Raw genomic sequence first — 21138 nt, 5'->3', positions numbered from 1 at the left:
ATTCTCCAAATTGATCAGCCTGGACGTTGTTTCCCTCTGAAATCAATAGATTAATCATTTTTTAAATTTCTTGAGGCTCACGTAAGTAATTCTGATTTTCATAAGCACATATGAATATTCAGTTATTTGTGTAATAGTCTTATTGATAAAGTAACTTGGATATAGAGCTCCAGTGAGAGTTTCTGGATTCATGGCTAAGCCAATATTTAACTATAAGACAATAAAAAACACAGCAGTAAAAACTGAATTGGGCTAATTCATGATAAATAATCTCTGGGGTATTATCCAAAATGTTTTCTGCCTACACAAAAAAAGAAAATAAAGAAACACATTTGCCAAGAGAAGAGGAGGCTTGGAGGTAAATGGGGCACAGACTCTTCATCTGGATAATGTTTCTGTTCTATTAACATGCATCTGCCACACTGGGAATGTTGCTATTTCTTTTTGTTAGAGTGATGGCCTACATGTTGCCATGAGATGATCAATAGAAAAGTTTTAGAAGAATGAATATTAGAAGACTATGGAATAGAGTCAGAGAGAGGGAGAACCTAGGGAAATTGGTGGAGGCAGGGGAATACACCCAGAAACTGGGGTATATGGGGTGGGCGAGGAAGTAGAGAAAAAGAGTACATAAGGATAAGAAGGAGAGAGAAGTGAGAAAAAAAGAAAATAATAAAATAGAGTGAAAATGACAGGAAAGAGACTACACAGATGAGAATGAGGGGAAAAGGGAAGTTAACGGAGGAAGAAAAGGACAAAAAATGTTTAGAAGTAGAAGACAGAGGCTTCAATGAGACAGAGTAAAATGCTCACAACACTCTCTAGTGTTGGATTCTAAGATCCCAAGTCTGTTGTTGCCACAGCCAATTAACAGCACTAGTTATGGGCCTATCTAACAAGGAGACAAGTTCCAATTCTGTGCAAGAGTACTGCTTCTCAGCTATGTCTATGTGCCAAGCAGAAAAGCTCGATTCCAGCAGTCAAGGAAACCTGCCTATGCCTTGTTGTCATCTTAGCCTTGAGCCATGGCTTTCTTTGTGAAGCTTCGGGAATGGGTCAGGGTTCTCTAGACTAATGGAGTTGAGGCTAAGATGGACCATGCTTGGCTAGCACCTCTTCTGCTCCTTACCAGGTAGAAATCCAGCCTCATGTAGAGGAGTGAATAATCTTTAGTGACTTTAGTGAATAAGCTTTATTCACTTTATTCATTTTAGTGAATAAACTTTAGTGACTATGCAACATAGCAAAATAAAACGTGTTTTTTCTGCCTCACTGAGAGCAGAGGCACAGTGAGCACTCAACAAACAGATTAGAGTAGGAGAATGAGTGAAAGGAAAGAATGCTTTATAATGCTATTTGAACAATAATACTCTTCCCTGCCTCAAAAAAAAAATCCCCCAATGAAAACTTCCTAAAAATATTGCATATTATCTTCAGGCTATACATCATATTGTCAATGTTTGTGAAATGATGTCACTAGCAGCATCAATTAGTGAGGAAAAAAAGGCCCTCAATTTTTTGGTAACTAAAAACAAACACAACTTAACTTGGCTATTATTTATATTATTTTAAATATAAAATAGAACAATGTCTAAGTGTTTGGTGCACTGTAATGTAATGAATCATATCACGGGTCATGCTTTGCATAATGTTGTGCCTGCATTATGAGAGAATTGACATCATTTTATTATTGATTCCTCTTACCTCTGGATACAGTAATGTCTTTCCATGTAGTCAGAGCCTCTTTAATATCTGTCAATATTTTAATATTTCTTTCTAAAAAGTTCTTGCGCACTGTTAGATTTATTCTCAAGTATGTTATATTTTTTGCTGTAGTTAATATTACATTTTTAAAATTACATTTTCTCTTTTTGGATAGTGTAGAGGCAAATTATTGCTTTTTGAATAATTATCAGTTATCACACAACCTCTCTGAGGGCCCTTATTTTTTCTAGTTTTCTGCAGATTCTCTTGCATTCTCTATGTTTATAATCATCATCAATAATAATGACAGATTTTCCTCTTTTTATTTTTCTATTTTATTTTTGTCTTGTACTGAGTGAGACTCCAGTTTAAGTCAGGGTAGTGGACATCTTCTTCCCTTGTATTTTCATATTTTAAGGGATTGCTTTAAATTTCTCTTGTAATGTGTAGCTCGTTATAGGTTTTCTGAAAGACACTCATTATGAAGATAAGGAAATCACTCTTATTCCTAGTTTGCTAAGAGTATTTATCAAATCAGAAGTTGCTGAATTTTACCCGTTTTTTTCTGAATCCATTCGAGTAATCATATGATTTTTCTTCTTTTAATCCTTAATGTGGTAAATGTATTTAAATAAATGCATTGTTAGGTTTTGCTTACTCTGTCTAAAAGGAAGTTTATATTTATGAGGACAAAGGAGATGGATGTATAATTTTCCTGTCTCATGTTATACTTTTCTGATTTAGGGATCAAGCTTTACATGAATATATAACAAAGGATTAGGGAGCTTTCTCTCTTTTAGTGTTCCCAGAGCAGTTGGAGATGACAGGAATGATCTGATTCGTGAATGTTTGGTAGAATTTGTGAAATAGTCTGAGCAGTGCTTGGGATTTATATGTATATAAATGTGTGTTAAGAGGTTACTATTCAGGTGTATTATATTCAAGAGTCAGTTTTGATAAGTTATTTTTTTCTAGAAAATTATACATTCCCTCAAGTATGCAGATTTATTAGCACAAAATTATTGATAGTATTTTCTTATTGCTTTCTATTTAGGCTACATCTGCAGATATGCCCTCCCATTTTATTTCTAATATTGTTGTTTCTTTCCCTTGAGAAATCTTACCAAAGATTTGTCTATTTTATTAGCTTTTCAAAGAATAAGCTATTGATTTTGTGTTTCTCTCTAAGGCATTAAATATTTTCTCTGTAATTTTAGGCCTTTTGTCTCTTCTCTTTTTTTCTTTTTTTTCAGCTGTATTTTTTCTGCTTTCTTATGTTGTCCATGTAATTCATCAATTTCTATTCTAAAATAACATTTAAAGTGAAAACTTACATTACTGCTTTGCTACCCACAAATGTTCATATGTGGTATTATGTTTTGATATATTTTTTATATCATATACTTGATATCATATTTTCAAATATTTCAGTTCTGAGTATTTTCTAATTTATAATTATATGTTTGTATAATAGACACACACATATGTGTGTGTGTATGTGTGTATACATATATATGTGTGTGTGTATATATATATATATATATATATATATATATATATACGTTTTATGTGCCAATTTCCAAATACGGGTTTTTTCCCAGATATATTTCCATTATCAACTTATTATTTGTGTTTTAATCAGAAAATACAGTCACCCAGATCATGTCATAATTTCCCATTTGGTTGAGGCTGACATGCTGACTATGGTTTCTGTTTGGTTATAGTCTAAACATTATACATCTGTTATATATCTGAAGGAAATAGAAGAATCCTGCATTTTTCTGGGAGGTGTTGAGGATCTAGAATGTGGGAGTGACATGATAAGGCCCTCCATAGAGAAATCACTGCTTTAGATCACCTTCGACACAAACTCTCTCTCCTTCCTCTCTCATGCTGGTCTTGACTCCTTGTTCATCAGAGTCAGCCACTAGCTGGTTACACTTTTTAAAACATTCATCTCTGTACACTAACTTCAGAGTAGTAAATGCTCTAGAATATTTCTTACTCCAATGGAAAGATGTTTTTCCTTTTTAAGCAAACTGAAGACTTTCTCCCAGGCTGTACTTCATACGGTCAGCATTAGTGAAATTGTGTTACCTGTAGCGTCAGTTGGTAAGAAGAAAAAAAGTTCCTGTAATTTTTCAGTAACTACTTTAAAATGGTCATAACTTGATTTGTAGGAAATGAAGGGCTAATGGCTCTAAAGAAAAATCACTTAATTTTGAACAATGTAAATGCCTATTTTTATTTCCCCTCCCCATGAAGGAAATATTCTATAGTCACCAATTTGGGTAGGAATTTGAAATAAGATTGTGAAAGTTTTTGTTTGTTGTGTTTCGTTTTAGTGCTGGGAATAATTTTAGTCATCAGCCAAGGCTTTTGATTAACAAATGAGGAAACTGAGTCCCAAAAAGGTTGAGGAATTTGCCCCTGATCATACCGCTTGTTCCTGGAAAAGCTGGAAATGGAATCTGGTGTTTTGCCCGTCTCGCCACACTGGCTTATTTGAATGCTCTGCTCTTTATAAAGCTTCTAACTAAAGATGTGAAGATTTTTTTTTCCCTCACAGCTCAAAATTTAGCTTGTCAATATCCTGATGAGCTACAAACTTGGCAGAGTTGTGAATCCTGCAAAAAAGTAGGGAGTGGGAATTTTCCATATTTTTTAAATTATCAAACGCTGAAATTAATGACATATGCTATTGCTAGAGATCCTCAGATTCTGGCAATGTGATGTTAAATCTTTCCATTTTTTTGTTAGAACATGAAGCAGGCTTCTTTACTCAATGGGAGCAAACATCAGATATGATGTGAGATCAACACATGAGCCCTCAACAGCCGGTAGACACAAGATAGAAGGCTATCAAGGGAACATCCAATAATCACAAAATTCAACACAATCAGAGTGTATGCTGATGAAGCAAGGGAAATATCAAGGCTAAAACCATTTGAGACTATCTTTTTAGACATGAGAAAAGCCTGTGGGGATCTTTATTCAAGCTCTTCATTCACTACTCTTATGCTGAGCTATGGCTGACCATAGACTGCGGTGGTAGGCAGAAGAACATGGCAGGCAGAGGCCGGTTCCATCAGGCCTTAGACACCAAGAGCATCCAAGGGCCATGAAGCAATGAGAAGTCACTAATGAGTTTTAAGAAGAGAAGTAGTTTAGTTAGATTTGAATTTTAAAACAATCACTCTGGCTGAAGTGTGGATAATCAGTTAGTGGTATGCAAGAATAGAGGCAGGAAAACCATTGAGAAAACTATTAAGATTCTCCAAAATAAAAAGATGAATAAGGTCTGAACTAAGACACAGAAATGAGGACAGAATTGAGAAGATAGGTTTGGGAAATGTTAAGGAGGTAAAGCTTTGAACATGGAAGATGAAAGAAGGGATGAGTAAGAAAGTTGAATTTGGCACTGGGTTACTTTGTGGATTGACATGTTATTAACCAAGCTAAGAAAGGTGGTAGAAGCAAGTCTGGGAGGAAAACTAAGGATTTGTTTTTAGGCATGTTGAATTTCACTTACTTTGGTCTGCAATGATGGAGAAGAAACTGATCTGGTGGTATGCATTTGAGAGGGCTGAGCATGCAAGTGGGTGAAATGGGGGAAGGAATGAGATTTCTTGGTGTGTGCTGAGGAAAGAGGGCCAGGATAGAACTCTAGCACAATAGCACCGAAGAGGACGGTAGGGAAATGAAGCCCACTACAGGAAGCTGGAAAGTCAGAGAGGTAAAGGGAGCAAAAGAGAATGGTATTCTAGAAACCAAATAATGAGAGAGTTTCAAAAACAGTAGTATTAAACACCCCAGAGAAGTCAAGCAAAATGGATACTAAAGACTGAGGCCTCATATTCTGAGCTAAGGAATTAGAGGGAGTGTTAGTGTTTTTTGTTTTGTCTTGTTTTTTTTTTTTTTGTTTTTTCTTTTTCTGAGACAGGGTCTTGCTCTGTTATCCAGGCTGGAGTGCAGTGGCACCATCACGGCTCACTGCCGCCTTGAACTCCTGGGCTCCTGGGCTTAGGGTCCTCCCTCCCTCAGCCTCCCAAGTAGCTGGGACCAGAGGTGCATGCAACCAACCATGTCCTGCTAATTTTTTTTTTTTTTTTTTTGAGAGATGAGGTCTCACTATGTTGCATGGGCTGGTCTTAAATTCCTAGTCTCAAGCTACCCTCCCATCTCAGCCTCCCAAAGTGCTGGGATTACAGGCATGAGCCACTATGTCTACCAGAAGTGTTCTTAAACAGAAAGGATGATTGGCGTAAGAGCACAGGTGGTGAGAGTAATAATTTGTGATGAACAAGAAAGGGGAAGAAAAAGATTACCAGGCATCACTGAGTTTATGTTGGAGCCCAAAATTTGTAGTGGCAAGAGGAAATTGAACACAATTAATATATAGGATGTGAAGATGATGGATGCATGGATGGATGGATGGATGCATGCATGCATGGATGGATGCATGCATGCATGCATGGATGGATGGATGCATGCATGCATGGATGGAGAGATAGAGAGAGAGAGAGAGAGAGAGAGAGAGAGAGAGAGAGTGAGAGAGTCTTTGTCCTAAGTACCAAATTCACCCTTGTAATGATTGAAATACTGTGTTTTTTTCAGATACAGTGCCCCTTTTCACATGGACTAGGCTGAATAAATGCTAACCAATTACACAAACACATTCTGAACTATCCAATTACTGTTTTTATTAGTTACCAAAATCACAACTATCCTATAGTGAGTAGATCACAATACAATGAAGAGTTCTATTGACTGGACTGAGAAACAGGATGATCCCATCAGCAACTCAGTTATAATCCATTGCCCATGGGTTACTTTACAAACAACAAAGGCATCCAATTGCTGTTCTTCTAGAGTCTGTTTCACAGAGTGGTCTTTCCCTGACTTTAGGATAGGGACATCTTGGAATTGTGCTCTATCCAGAGCTTCCAGCCATTCTGCCTGTGCAGGAACCTGTGTTGAGGATGAGGGTGGCATGAAGCAAGGAGGACGGCTTATGCCGTGAACACTACTGAGTCACATTCAGAGAAAGGCTGAGGCGGGGGGAGCTCTGTGTCCTTCCGTGGGAATTCTCTCAATTTTAATCTCTGTTTTCTTCTGTATGAGTCTCTCCCTCTCTGAAAAAATTGTTCCTTCATTTTCCCCTCATTCTTCTCTTTCAATTATATCTTTGCCTACCTGTGACATTTTGTGTTGCAAAAAGACTCTGGACTTCTGGGCTAAATGATTTCTTGGAATTGCTAAGATTCTTTCTCTTGGATGAGGACTTTTCTTCCCAGGATCTCATGGAAATTGACTTCATCGTGAGAAATGAACATCCTTTTGTTTCATGTGTAATTTGGAACTGTGAAGCCTCCCTTGTTACTGCTCTGCTCAGACAGGGCTGCCACACATAACCGTCGTGATTACTCATCCTTTCATTTACTGAGTTTCCACCACTTCAAATGCACAAAGATTAACAGTCTATGTGCACAGAGTACTGCCATAAAGGGATCTGTTTTGAGTTGGGAAAGGGAGACGTCTCTTGATGTTCATTACATCATAAGAATCTTTCTTATGAAGGAAAAACTATAAAATCATCAAAATATATTTAGCATAAATTATTTAAAATCTTGGCTTACATGTCATTCTGACACATAGGTATTTGTGAGATGATTGCATAAATGATTTTGGATTGTTATTACTAGAAATATTAAATACATATTAAAGTGATTTTATAGATCAGATCAGTTCTCCAAAAATATTTATCACACCTATTCATGTACTCTTAAAGAGAGCTGGCTGCTCCATGGGATGCGTTTTTGCCTTTAATTCACAGTAATTCCTTTTAGAAATGTGAAAGATATGAGTTCAGTGCCTTAAAACTTGTGCATAGTTCATGGACATTTCTTCTTCAAGTCTTTTGTCCACATAGGGGTGTAGCCTGGAATTCCAGTTTATTACACTGAGTCCTCAGCTGTGGCTCCCCTCTCACCTCTAACACGCAACCCCAAAGTCACATAAACTCATTATTTATCCCCAGGACACAACTTAGTGTGTGCTTGTTTATGAATTGATCTGTAATAAGCCCACAGGAGCTCAGCAGTATAAAATTTGAAATAAATAACACCCGGGGCCAAGAGTTGTCCACAAAATGAACTTCACCCTACTATTTTCATAAACCTCCAACCCCCCACCTGCTGACTTCAGATCTCTTTCAGCTTCAGGAGAGCCAGATGTTCTTCACTCCGTGTACTCAAAACCACCACTCTGAACCCCAGGAAAGTGAAAAGAGAACATGCTTTGCTGTCCACTGCCAAGGGCACTCCACCAGGATCCAGAAGCCTGGGAATTCTACCCTGGGGAAAGAAAGCAGGAGCTTCCCAGCCAGATTCACCTCCCACTACAGGAGATTGTTTTTAATTGTTCTTTGAAGAGCCTTTCCAAGTTTTATAAAGCCTTGTCCACCCACTCAAAGCAGGCTTTGCTGTACTCTGGGAGCAATCATGGTTTCTTCCTAGCTCTCTGTCATGGGCACTGAAGCTTTGAGCAGAGATCCTTTTTTCCACTTTCTCCTGGTGACAGTACCCAAGTGACTCCAGATGCAGCAGTGGTGACAGCTGAGATCTTTTCCATGGCAAGCTTTTAGCTGCAATTCAGTTATTTTCAAAATATCCCTGGAAAATGTGTCTAAATGACATTATTTCCCTTCTGTATTATCAGTAGTAAGCATGCATAAGCAGCTTTTTAGTAAACGTGCCCATTTAAGCTGGTGAAATATCAAACCAAGTAACCATTCTGACAAAAAGTGGTAACTGGCCCATGGTGCTCTCTTCTCACCCTTTTATTTAAATTCAATTATAGTTCAAAAGCTGGGACCTGTACCTAGCATTGTGTTCAGGCCTTAGCATACATTGACACCTTTAATCCCTCAACAATCTTATGATATTGCTATGCATTCCAATTTTTCACATAGAGAAATTGAGGTTCACATAGGTACAAAACGGCAGGACTGGTATGTAAAACCGATCTATCCAAATCCGAGGCCTAAAGTTTTTACCACTGTGTTCTATTCCTCCCCAGAATTCCATAGTATTCCATGGTAAAACATAGAAGAGCCCCATAGGGACATTCATGAGTCCAGTTTTTAGATTAATGGACTATTTATTTTGATTAACATTGAGTTTTGAAGCTTATGTACATTGTCATTGGGGATAAAAATTGGCCTGGCTATACTAGAAAGCCTGTTTATTTATAATTTATTTTAACTTTTGTTTTGAAATAACTTCAGACTTACAAAAAAGTTGTATAAACAGTACAGAGAATTCCTGTATACCCTTCTCATAACTTTCTCAAGTTTTAACATCTTACATAGCCATAGCACAATTAACAAAATCGTGAAATTAACCTTGACAAGAATATTAGTAACTAATTTATAATTCTTATTCAAATTTTACCAGTTGTGCCACTAATGTTCTTTTTCAGGTCCAGGATCGAAATTCCCAAATTGCATTTAGTGATCATGGTTCCTTGTCTCCTACAATCAGCAACTGTTCTTCATTCTTTCTTTGTCTCTTATGGCTTTGACCTTTTTTAATAGTACTTGCTATGATTTGAATGTGTCCTCCAAAGTTCCTGTGTGGAAACTTAATCCCTAATGCAACAGTGTTGGGAGGTGGGAGACTAATAAGAGGTGATTAGATCACAAGGACTCTGCCCTCATGAATGGATTAGTGTTTTTATTCTGGGAGTGGATCAATTATAAAAGCAAATTTGGCCCCCTCTTGCTCTCTCACTGAGGAGCTCTCTTTCCCTTCTGCCTTCTGCCACAGGGTAATGTAGCAAGAAGGCCCTCACCAGATGCTGTCCCTTCAATCTTGGACTTCCCAGCCTCCAGAATCATGAGAAATAAATTTCTGTTCATTATAAATTACCCAATCTCAAGTATTCTGTTATAGCAGCACAAAATGGACCTAGACAGTACTGGCCAATTATTTGATAGAATGCCTCACAATTTGGGTTTGTTTAATGTTTTCTTATGATTCAGGTTATGTATTTCTGGCAAGAATCATATGGAAGTGATGTTGTTGTCTTCTTAGAGCATAAGATCAGGAGGTACATGATGTTGATATGTGTCCTTATTGGTGCTGTTAACTTTGATCACTGCAAAGTTACTCCTTTCCTTTTTTCAGTTAGTATCTATTCTTTAAATTTAAACCCTCTTGTACTTATTTATAGTTATATAATTTATTACCTTTGGGCCCAGTGTCCTCAAGTATTAAATGTGGTTAATAATCATAGCTCTACATACTGATCGGTGTTATTGTGAGGCACAAATAACATATGTGAAAGTGCTTTGTAAACTGCGAAGTTATATAATGCACCAAGTTAACATAGTGAATCACATATATAATGAGAAGCCACAGGTTGATAGACTACCCAGCGTTTATATTATATGCTTTCAGACTTCCACTGACATCACTTAAAAGGGATATTTCAGAATTAGCCTGCAGTCAGCTATGCAAGAAAATTTGTGTGCTGTGACTTACTGTCATAGACCTCCCAGAAGAGACCAAATCTTCTTTGTGGTTTTTAGGATATGTTCCCTGGACCTCTCATTTAAATTAATAAACATAAAGAAAAACAATCACAGTATGTATTATGATTTGGGATTACCCTAAACAATGTAACGTTGTAATTTCTCTATAATTTTACAAACGCAATAGGCACATACTGATTCATTAATGCAAGGGTACAGAGCAGTCATATTCCTTTATATTTCCAGTGAGCACCCACATGACATATTAGTGGGAAGTCTAGTATCTCACTTTTGAAACCTGCCCTGGAAAGCATTCCTCTCCCACACACATACAGACCCTTGTTACAGTTTAATTTCAGTTTAAGAATCTCAAGGCTTACTCAATGCCCTAGGGAAATGAGTTTAATCCTTTACTATAGCTTTGTTTTTTGCACTCACTGGAAATCATTGTTAAAACTAGCTTTGCACCATGCCACGAAAGCATGTCCATCCTGCAAGGACACCCTCATACCTAAACCAAAGAGTGTCCCATGTTCAAATGCTCAGCTTTGTTCCCGAACCACAACAATATGCCAGGATAGCTGGATCCTAAGGCAATTTTCAATCTCAGCCACATTTTTGTTTTCCAAAACAGCCTTCCTCTGTCATAGACCAAGGGCCACCACCCCCACATAGCCCATTCTTTTTTCTATGTTTCTTTTTGAAGCTATTGATATCCTTTTTGCCCACTTTGGTCTACCTGTGCCAGGCCATCTGAAGAGGTGAGCAAAAGTCCATAATTTCAGACTTTAGTCAGAAAGTCCAGAGTTTATCAGACTCCTCTCTGCTGACCAGCTATGCTGATTAAGAGGTATGGTGAGGAGCTAGCTTTGGTCAGGTCACAAAAGATTCCCATTATACTCTTGCCCTTGGTAAAGACTGCCCAGTAGTCACCCTATCCTTATTTAATGTAAAACTTCAAGAGATTCTGGAAAATGATCTGTTATATGATGATTTACTATGTTCAGTAAAACAGAAGGGAACAGTCTCTGGTACCTATTACACAAATGCATATAATTAAATGTTCAAGCATCAGCTATATATGAATATAAAATAAGGTTATATTTCCTTGTAAAGCTCCCACAATAATAGCTCAAGTCCCATCTACTGGTTTTCCATGAATTAGGGAACTTCCAAGCATCTTTGAGCTATTTTCTGGGAGGAAATAGTGGTGCTCACACATTTGTTCAGTCTTGCTCATGCATTTGCTCATCACACTGCACTTTGCTGCCTTTATACTGAGAACCCCTGTCACGTGTCTTCTGGACCAGACACAGCTATCCTCTCCTGATGAACACCAATGCCACCAGCCCCGTGGCCTCTAAGAGGGGACACTGTTCTTTCCCTCAAGCAAAGAAGAGACCAAGTGGTACGTTCTAATCAGGCTTTGCTGAAAGTTAATAGAAAACAAAAGGGACTATCCACATGCAGAATACATTAGAAGCTACAGTGGATGTCCTCTCAAGTTACTCTGGAGAGTCCTCCCAGCCCCAAGTTCAGGACAACATTCTTCAGAGTCCCTAAATGATACTTCTCTGTCTTTCTCCCAGCCTGGTATCTGGATGAGGATGGCAACCGCTCTTCAACAGGTGTGCCCTCTAGCACATCTGCTTTATTTGGTTTCCATGAGGCTTCAGAGAGAGGAGAAAAGACTCCCCACACTCTCCCCCAGACCTAACCGTCAAAACCCCACAATCCCGAGTTTTTACTTGCAGTCCCAAGATTCACCTCTTCCCAGGGTGATGGGCAGTGGATTACTCTACTTCAGAGGAAACCACAACTTCCATCTTCAGAGATGTGGTCTGGTCCTATGGCGTCACCCATATATGGCACTAAAACTTTAATATACTTTCCCAAATCTGCCTTATTTAGCCTTAAATAGACAGCAATCTTTCTGTATAGGTTGCATACCACAATATTTTTTTTTCTCTTCCAGGATAAGGTAAACATCAAGTTCTCACTGAAATGGCTCCAACTTTCCCGGGCATGGGGAAGAGAACCTCAAACAAAAAATCACTCTTCAAGGCCGCTGAATAATAAACATGCCAGAAGAGTCTAATTCCATGCAGAGAAAGGAAACATTGGCCCCTAGGTAGCAACTGCTAAACATACCTACATTTACATGAACAAACAGAGAATTTTACTTCTTAGTTTAAAACATTTGAATCTAATTTATCTCACTATATTTAAGTTTCCCCTTAAGAACTATGGTTAAACTTCTGCCTTACCTTTTACATAACAAAAAAATGCATATTACGGGATTTCTCCCAGTTTGCTACATAAATTTGAGCTAGAGGTAGAACCCGGCTTGCAACTCTTAAATAATAGTTTTCCCCACATCTATATTCAGTAAGATTTTAAAATTTTCATCAAAGGACTGAATTTCACATAGAATGAGACTAAAGCAGGGTCTTCCCCGGCCTCACACCAACCATGGCCACCTTCATTCATGCATTTGCTTAAACAGCTCCCTTGCCGGTTGACCATCTGGAAACGCTGTGGTGTACATTCTATTCAGTGTCTTCATGGCACAGAAAAGGCTCCCAAGATTCCAGGAGTCCTGCCATACCGTGGAAGGATTCAGAAGCAGTCCACGTGTTAGGATGTCTACAGTTGAGAAGGAGGTCCAGAAGAGAGTCCAGTATAATTAGTCTACAGCAAAGTGAAAACAGATGGCACTTCTACGCAGCTGTGCTTTCTTCACTGTAATTTTGAGAGTTGAACGATGATCTCTATGGCTCCTCCAAACTCTAAAACTCTGTGACGCTATAATATCCTTAGCAACATTTTATGGGACTGTATAGTCATGAAAAAGCTTTGGGAAGCCACGTATTTGGGCTTGTCTGGGGACCATTCCTCTGCAAAAGATTGGTTTCTGGCCATAGGAAGGTGGCCATGGTTTTACCAAACTTAGAATACATTAACACGGAGGCATAGTGTGCCTACATGATGGACCCTGTGGGGCAAACTAAATTTGAACCACATTGTAACTATCTTCCTGCATCTTTAGATTCCTGGGAAGCTTAATATACTTTTAAAGGCAGTTTATTTTGGCATAATTAATAAGAAATATAGTTTTTTCATCATGGTATTTAAAGCTTGGTTCAATAAGTTACTTGGTATTGGTTACTGTTCAGTTAGGATTACATCCTCAAAATCTCACTCTACTTAACATTAAAAAGAAAGTTTAGTACATTTAATATACCAAGTCTCTAGCCTTAAAGAAAAAGAACTGCACTTATATTCCAGAAAAACTGAGGAAAAGACTGATTCTCTTTCAAGTGACCATTTTATATCTGGAATAATGTGTTGCATTGGAAGGAAATTACATGGTTAAGACAGCCAATTATGTCTGGGGGAAAATATGACTTGTCTTTCATATTTATAAATATGCCTCTCTATCAAGACCATCCTTTGGCTGGGCGCGGTGGCTCATGCCTGTAATCCCAGCACTGCCAGCACTTTGGGAGGCCAAGGCAGGCTGATCATGAGGTCAGGAGATCGAGACCAGCCTGGCCAATATAGTGAAACCCCATCTCTACTAAAAATAGAAAAATTAGCCAGGCATCGTGGCATGCACCTGTAGTCCCAGCTACTCAGGAGGCTGAGGCAGAAGAATCGCTTGAACCCGGGAGGCAGAGTTTGCAGTGAGCCGAGATTGCGCTGCTGCACTCCAGCCTGGGCAACAGAGTAAGACTCCATCTAAAAAAAACAAAAAACAAAAAACAAAAACCAAAAAAACAAAAAAAAAACAACCATCCTTCAATAAACAGCTCTGGCATTACTTTGTTCATTGAATGTTCCCCAACTCAACTCTATCTTATCTTTTGATTATTCTGTGAACTTCTATCATGCTAAGCTCCGTACTTGATAATTTAACAATACATTGCTTTTTTGGCTTCCATTAATTTGTTCTTTCCAACTGAACTGTAAACCTGAAACTAAGAATGGACTCTTCTGCTTCTTTATGTAACCCATAGCACCTTACAGAGTTCTTAGCAATAGAAGGTACTAAAAATAAATGCCTGATTGACTCAGGCAGAAAGAAAATATATACACAGATAAGCTAAGAACACACATATATCTTTTGCTATGCTATGACTGAACTAACACCAGACTAGCGTAGTGTGTTAGAGAAAATGAATGCATGGAAATGAATAATTCCCTATTGGCAATCAGAAAGCTAATTAGCTGGCAAAGTATTGCGTTTATTTTGTTTGTTTTGTTTTGCTTCCAGAGAGTTCTTGTACTGTTGTTAGCCAAGACCTGTTCAGAAAACTTAGGTCCGTTTGGAAGATATAGGTTTATTTGAAGATCTCCAGATCACTCTCAAAATGTGATTTCAGGCTAGGCTCAAAACAACTACGGGAATGAGGAGCAAGGGAAGTAAGTGGCATTCAGAATTTCTGACAAATGTATTAGGCTAAGAGCACCCGCTATGTTACTGTGGGCTTTCTGATTTGACTCAGTCTCAAAGCTTTAAGAGAGTAATTTTGGAATCTAGAAACCAGGCTGTGGCCAGTAATTTCAAATGGAGAGAAATTTGTAAAAATAAAAGGGGTTCATAGCTCTCCAGATTCCATACTGAGGATAGAATGCTCTGATAAGCTAGGTGCCTTCCTCAGATGGCATCGCCATATGAACAAGGATATGCTTTAAGGTATTGTTGAAGTAACAACACAGGGTAGGGAATTATATATCCTGGGAGCTACATATAAGCTACTAAAAGTCATGCAAATATGATAAAGTAGGTTGTATATCTCTATGATGAGTTATCTAGTATCCTCCAATATTTGGAAAACATCACTCAAGGAAATGCTATGAAAAAACTGTTGTCAAAATTGGGTTGCAAACCTATTTCTAAAATTATCAGCACGTGCCAGTTTCAACTTACTACCACATTATCTGGACTCTATAAAGAGAGGAAACTTGAAAATTATTTTAGCCATCCACTTCATATAGCACCGCTTTCAGTAAGATCATTTTTTTGTTTCCAGTGTAAATGACTCTAACCAAAAAGATCTTCCTTTCAGAAGATTTCCACATAGTACTGGTAGTCTGTTTCTGCCTCATGTTTTATACATGAAGCTGCTGCCAAAAAAAAAAAAAAAAATCTGTCAATTGAACAAGTTCAATAGGAAATTAAAGACTTATTTCCTTCAGAGAGAAAAATGTGTGACAGTTGTCATGCATAAATACGCAAATGCACTTCCCATTGCCAAGATTTTCCAAAGAAAGCTTCAGTTTGTTCAAACAATAGACTAGCTCCTAGATCTTCTAGCTAGCTACAGGAACTTGTGATCCTTGGTAAATGTTAGCAGAATAGGCCTATTCACAAAGGCTGCACACCTGACCATCTGATCTCAAACACACAATGTACCCTCATCACTTCTGGGAAAGACCAGCCTTGAATTTTTTTATAGGTTGGACATAGTGAAAAGGAATCAAGGTTCTGCTTATATTTGTCCACATTTTCACCAGCAACAAGTTTGGTAAACGCCATTCATTACCCATGCATGCTGGAGACCAGCTGATGAGAAAAGAAATTTAAATATTTTTTCATATGCATTTTAATGTAAGCAGATAATTATTACTGTAATTATTGATTTCATTTATTTTCCTATTAGTACCACCCCACAGGCTAATTTTTATGAAATGAGTTGAGCTTGTAGATATCAATCAGGACTAATTATTTCTTTCTTCATTACTAAAAACCATGCCTTGTCTCTTCCTGTGAGAACAAGTTTTATATTTTTAATTTGTTTCTCATATATTTATGTGTCAGTAATTGGTTCATGTATTAGTCTAATGTCTACCAAAATCTTTTCTATTTATCAAAAAAAGAGCTAGAATATATACTGAATGTCTTCCTAAGGACAAATTACTGTATAGTGATGGCAAATATTTGACTATTCTTTTTCTTCTTTATGTTTTGATACATAATTATAGCTATTATTAATCAAATTATCTCAGCTATAGTGAAGATGATGAATAGCATTTTTAAGCCTCTACCTGGAGAAATGAGGACAGATTACTTTATATAACATACCTGTGTTTGTCTCCATGCCTTCCAGAAGGTTTCACATGAATATATTTATATTTTATTTCTCTTAGCCTTATGTGCTTGGTACCCTCCACATTTGTCATTTATAGGTATATCTTTCTCAATTTACAAAATGAAGATATCAGCCAGGATTGACTCTTTGGCAAAGAAATAAACCCAGTGAATGTTTGACTAGCATTCAGTTATACTCTTTTAGATTAAAACTTCAAATGACATTTTCTGCATGTATGTAACACTTGGGAGAACCATAACACCCAGACTTGCTCATGGTTTTTCCTTAGGCTATCCAAATAAGAAAACAAGTCTGTATTTTCCAGACAATAAGGCTGAAAACAGTGTAAAGAAGTGTGATGATTCAGGTCAATGAGGTAATTGAAGAAACGTCATGACAACCAAAATTAAAATGACCAGTTTCCCATTTGCATGTGCCAGCAATTCCTCAGGAAATCTTTCTGGTTGCTTTTTGCTCCTATTAGACAGGATAATGTGGCTACAAATTATATCCAACTGAGAGAGGATTGACTCATCCTCAGCAGGTATTGTGGGAGCAGATAAACCCCAAAAGGACAACAGTCAGAGAAATAGCTGAGAACAAAGCAAAACACACACAAACATGCACACACATACAGATTATTACATTACATAGTAGATTATAAAATTAATATACATATATTAATTTTTCTCTCCCATTTCTACTGTGATAATTCTTGGTGATCATTTTAAAACTTTCAAAATAAAAAGTTCCTGTTAACTTCATACCACTCTAACTTGCTTCATGATTTGTTATATATACTATGGTACAAAACAATATTGAAGACCATGGCATCTTCCTCTTACCTACTCAAATGTTCTCTAGGACAGTAATGTCATCAGAAGGTACCTTCCTCCCATCTGGTCATGGCCTTCACAGTAACAAAAGGTGGAGGCATAATACCATTATGAGCCCTCCCTTGTGTTGGACATCCAGGTACACTTTTGCTGAGTCTTCTGTAGCCAGGAGAGACATAAAAACAGATATCCTGTTCTACCTACACCTGTCTCTTCTTCTGTGCCCCACAGGTTTGGAGGTCAACTGCAGTGAGGTCTCTATACCACAGAGTGGTGAGTCCCCAAGTCCCGGTGAACTTAGGAAATGGGCATTATCCTCTGGAAGACGTTTATAGAGGTGACTTTTTTGGTAAGTCCCTGGGACTCCTGTTGACATGGGAATTACTTTCTTCCCTCAGTTGTTGGCGTCTCACATGGCCATTCATCAGCTCAATACAAACAAGTCTTCACGGAGGTGGAGTTTCCTCCTCACCTGTTGCTAAACCAGGCAGCGTGGATTGGCATATTCACTGACTTCATGGCACGAAGGCCTACAAAAGCGGAACAACTTTTCACCAGTGCAAAAATGTTCCAAAAGATACTCTCTCTGTCCAATACACTTGTAAGTGCATTCTAGAATATAAAAAATAGAGAGAGATAAATGTTCTGTTGAAAGATAATCTCCCAAAATATAAGTTTTTATGTAAGACAGTGCTCTCAAGTCATAAATGGTAAATTCTTCTGAAAGTCACAGAGGAAATTACTCTTAAGACCTCTGTCTTGTTAAGTTATCATAGTAATAAAATCTCAACCTACTAAGGTAACTTTCTAAACATGTCAGAGCTTGAAAGTCTCTTGTAAACCTCTAAATACAAAGAAAACCTAAGTTTATTTATTGAAGTTCAAGCTGTAGAAATCTGACAGCTTTGAGGACTTTAAAAGATACTGAATCAACTGCTATAAAAGGAAAACAGTCTTGACAATTTTAATTCATATAGTATTACAACTGAAGAAACTATTTGATGATTTATGAAGGGCACATTTGCCGGCTGTGTTTTGGAGTTTTTGCATGAAAAGTGAATTTGTACTCAGACTGTTTGCATCTTCAAAGACCCATGAGCTTGGCTGTAGGGGCATGCAACATTAGGTTTGGAAATATATGAAATAAATATTGCTATGCCTTAAGAATGTGATTTAACTGTCAATTTGCTTTGATACGTAGGTTTAAAGTTTTGGGTTATTTTATATATGCTATTCATGTATATCTGTATTGGAGGCATCCACTCGCTGCTTTAGAAGCTCCTGGAGAGTAGAAATTGTCTCCATGTAGCTCTCAGCAATTAATAAACACTGAAGGCAACTGGGCTTTTAATTCTTTTTAATGCTTAGTTACTTAATTCAATATCTACTCCATTCTATTTGGTCTCAAGTGTATTGTGTGTGAACAGAATAAACAAAAGACTGAATGAATGAAGTCAGATGTAACTTAGACAAAGTTTCTGGAATGGCTCCTTAATAAAATCCTCTTCAAAGAATAGGATCCAAACAAAGAGAGGACACATGATTTCTGAAATTAAAATCACTGTCTAATTGGAGAAGATAAATGTACCCACGTGATTCATCCAGAGACTAATTACAAAGCAGCCTGTGAGCAAGTCTAAGATTGTTTAGTATACACTAAGTGTGCGGTTGCTAAACAGACGATGTGCAGATAAGCATCAGCTATGGGCAAGCGGTGGTCCCTGTCTTCTCCTGAACTCCTACCTTCTATTAATATTTCAACATTCCTCTTCCTTGGGAACTTATTCTCCAGGAGCTCAATCACTTTATGAACAAATATAAGAGAGACCTATGACACCCAAGATTTTCCCTTGTATTCCCTTTGAAACCAATATGTGTTTTGTTTCTTCTTGAACCAAACCATCAACTTTGCCATTATAACCTAATGGAGAGGGAAATTAGTTTAATGGGTCAGGTGATCTTTGAGTGTCTCTCAAATCATTGAATGCAATCAACTTTCTTTCCTGCCTGCTGGCTCCATCTGTAATCAGCAGAGATTTCTTGTACAGAGAAGAGTAAGGGGCACCTTCCTGAAAGAGCTGTGTTTGTATGCAAGGCACAGGAAAAACTGATGCTCTAACCTTCAGTGATGTGGTGAGGACTTGTCTTGGGCATAAAACTTAAGTCAGCACCAAATAACACAATAATCAGGATAGATAGTATTTTAATGCAATATTTTTAAGATAAAATATATGCAAAAATATTCATGATAAAAAATATCAAAGTTTTAAATAAAGACAGGATCAATACTACTGATTTTTTTCCTTTTGCCTTAAGCTCCAATATGACTTAGCATAGCAAGGTTACTAGTTCTATTTAAAAAAAAAATTAGTTTTGCTCATCGCGGATTTTCTTGCATTAATCTTAACTTTAAAAAATTTCGTTAAAATATTATTTGTCTTGATTATTGACATTTTTTATTGCCCCCTTAAGTTTTTCACCTGAGATAAGTGACTCATTCAGCTTACTTTTCCCCACTGATGATAAAGAGGAAAAGAGGGAAGATAAATTGCTATGGGGTACAAATGACGAATGTAGTTTCCAATAATGTCAGAATATTAAATTTGAGTTTTCCTGGAATGAAACAATGATTTAGAAAAAAGAAAGAAAGAAAATAATAGATCTGGGATATAGTGATATACCTGGGAATTCTCATAGCCACAAGAGGGCATCAATTAAAATTTTGAGAGAATATGCACTCCAAGAGAGTATGGAAGGAAAAAAACAGAGAACTAAGGACTTACCTGAGGAGTTACCAATAGTTCTAAATGACAGATCTTTCTCTATGGATTATTGTACCCAAAGCATATGACATTCTAGAACAGGAGTTCTTCAACTTGCACATGCATCAGAATCTCCTAGAGGGCTCGTTGAAGTGCAGATTGCGGAGCCCACACCCAGGATTTTATTTCAGTAGATTTGAGGTGGGGGCTGGCATGTCTAACAAGTTCCCAAGAGATACTGAGACTTCTTATTCATGGGCCACACCTTGAGAGCAAGCGGGCTAGAATAAATAGACTCTATAACACAGTGGTTTGTTCAAAAATTTATGTAGTAAAATACTCTATAGAGAAATCAAATTGTATCATTTCTTACTATAAACTCTTAAGGAAGAAACTAAAGTAATTCTTCCACCTCCCTTCCAAGACTAGACAGTAAGGGCAATAAAGAAAGAAAACTAGTTGGAGTAAGATAATAGAGAGTGGTGGAGATTGTCAACTGGAGATTACGTGTCCAGTCTAAAGGTATTGAAGTTTAATTAAAACAAAACAAATCACTATGTGAGACAAACAATTTCTGCCTTTAAAATTCTGGGCCCAACAAGAATATTAGACTGGATTGCCTGAGGCCAGGTGCAGTGGTGCGAACACTTTGGGAGGCTGAGACAGGAGCATGGTTTGAGGCCAGGAGTTTCAGGCCATTCTGGGCAACATAGTAAGACCCTGCCTCTACAAAATATTTAAAAATCAGCTGGGCATGGTGGTGAACACCTATAGTCCTAGCTACTCAGGAGGCTAAGGTGGGAGGATTGCTTGAGCCCAGGAGTTGGAGGTTACAGCGAGTTATGATCTTGCCACTGCACTCCAGCCTGGGTGACAGAGAAAGACCCCATCTCTAAAAATAAATTAAAAATAAAGAAATAAAAATAAACTGGATCACCTGAAAAAGAAAGGCTTTGGAGGCTTGCTGATTTAATATTTGGGAAGGGAACAACTAGGTTACTGGTAAATTGGTTTGACTCTTCAACTGAGGAGAAAAAGGGGCTTAGGGTGCACAAGTGACATAGGTCAGCGCCATTAAAATGCAGCCCCTTATTGCTGAGAGGACTAAGAACTGTGTCCTGTGACCTAGGAAGCTCTGATGAGGGTCTCCAAGTCACGTGTGGCTGGAAAAATTGGAACTGCCAGAGAGCAGTCCATCTGTGAAC

At 37.7% G+C, this 21138-nt stretch overlaps 1 long non-coding RNA gene across 1 annotated transcript in view; it reads left to right on the top strand.

Moving 5' to 3' along the window:
- The window catches only part of LINC00393 (long intergenic non-protein coding RNA 393), a 116003-nt gene extending 97660 nt beyond the window's left edge, over window positions 1–18343 (top strand). The window contains exons 3-4 of the long non-coding RNA NR_184171.1: window positions 17403–17444; window positions 17570–18343. This is a non-coding gene — a long non-coding RNA (long intergenic non-protein coding RNA 393). The remainder of the gene's footprint in view (window positions 1–17402; window positions 17445–17569) is intronic.
- The last annotated feature ends 2795 nt before the right edge of the window (window positions 18344–21138 follow it).

Source organism: Homo sapiens, chromosome 13 (assembly GCF_000001405.40).
Source record: "Homo sapiens chromosome 13, GRCh38.p14 Primary Assembly".
NCBI classification, from domain to species: Eukaryota; Metazoa; Chordata; class Mammalia; order Primates; family Hominidae; genus Homo; species Homo sapiens.
The sequence above is the reverse complement of the archived record's forward strand: the minus strand, read 5'-3'. Positions and strand labels throughout refer to the sequence as shown.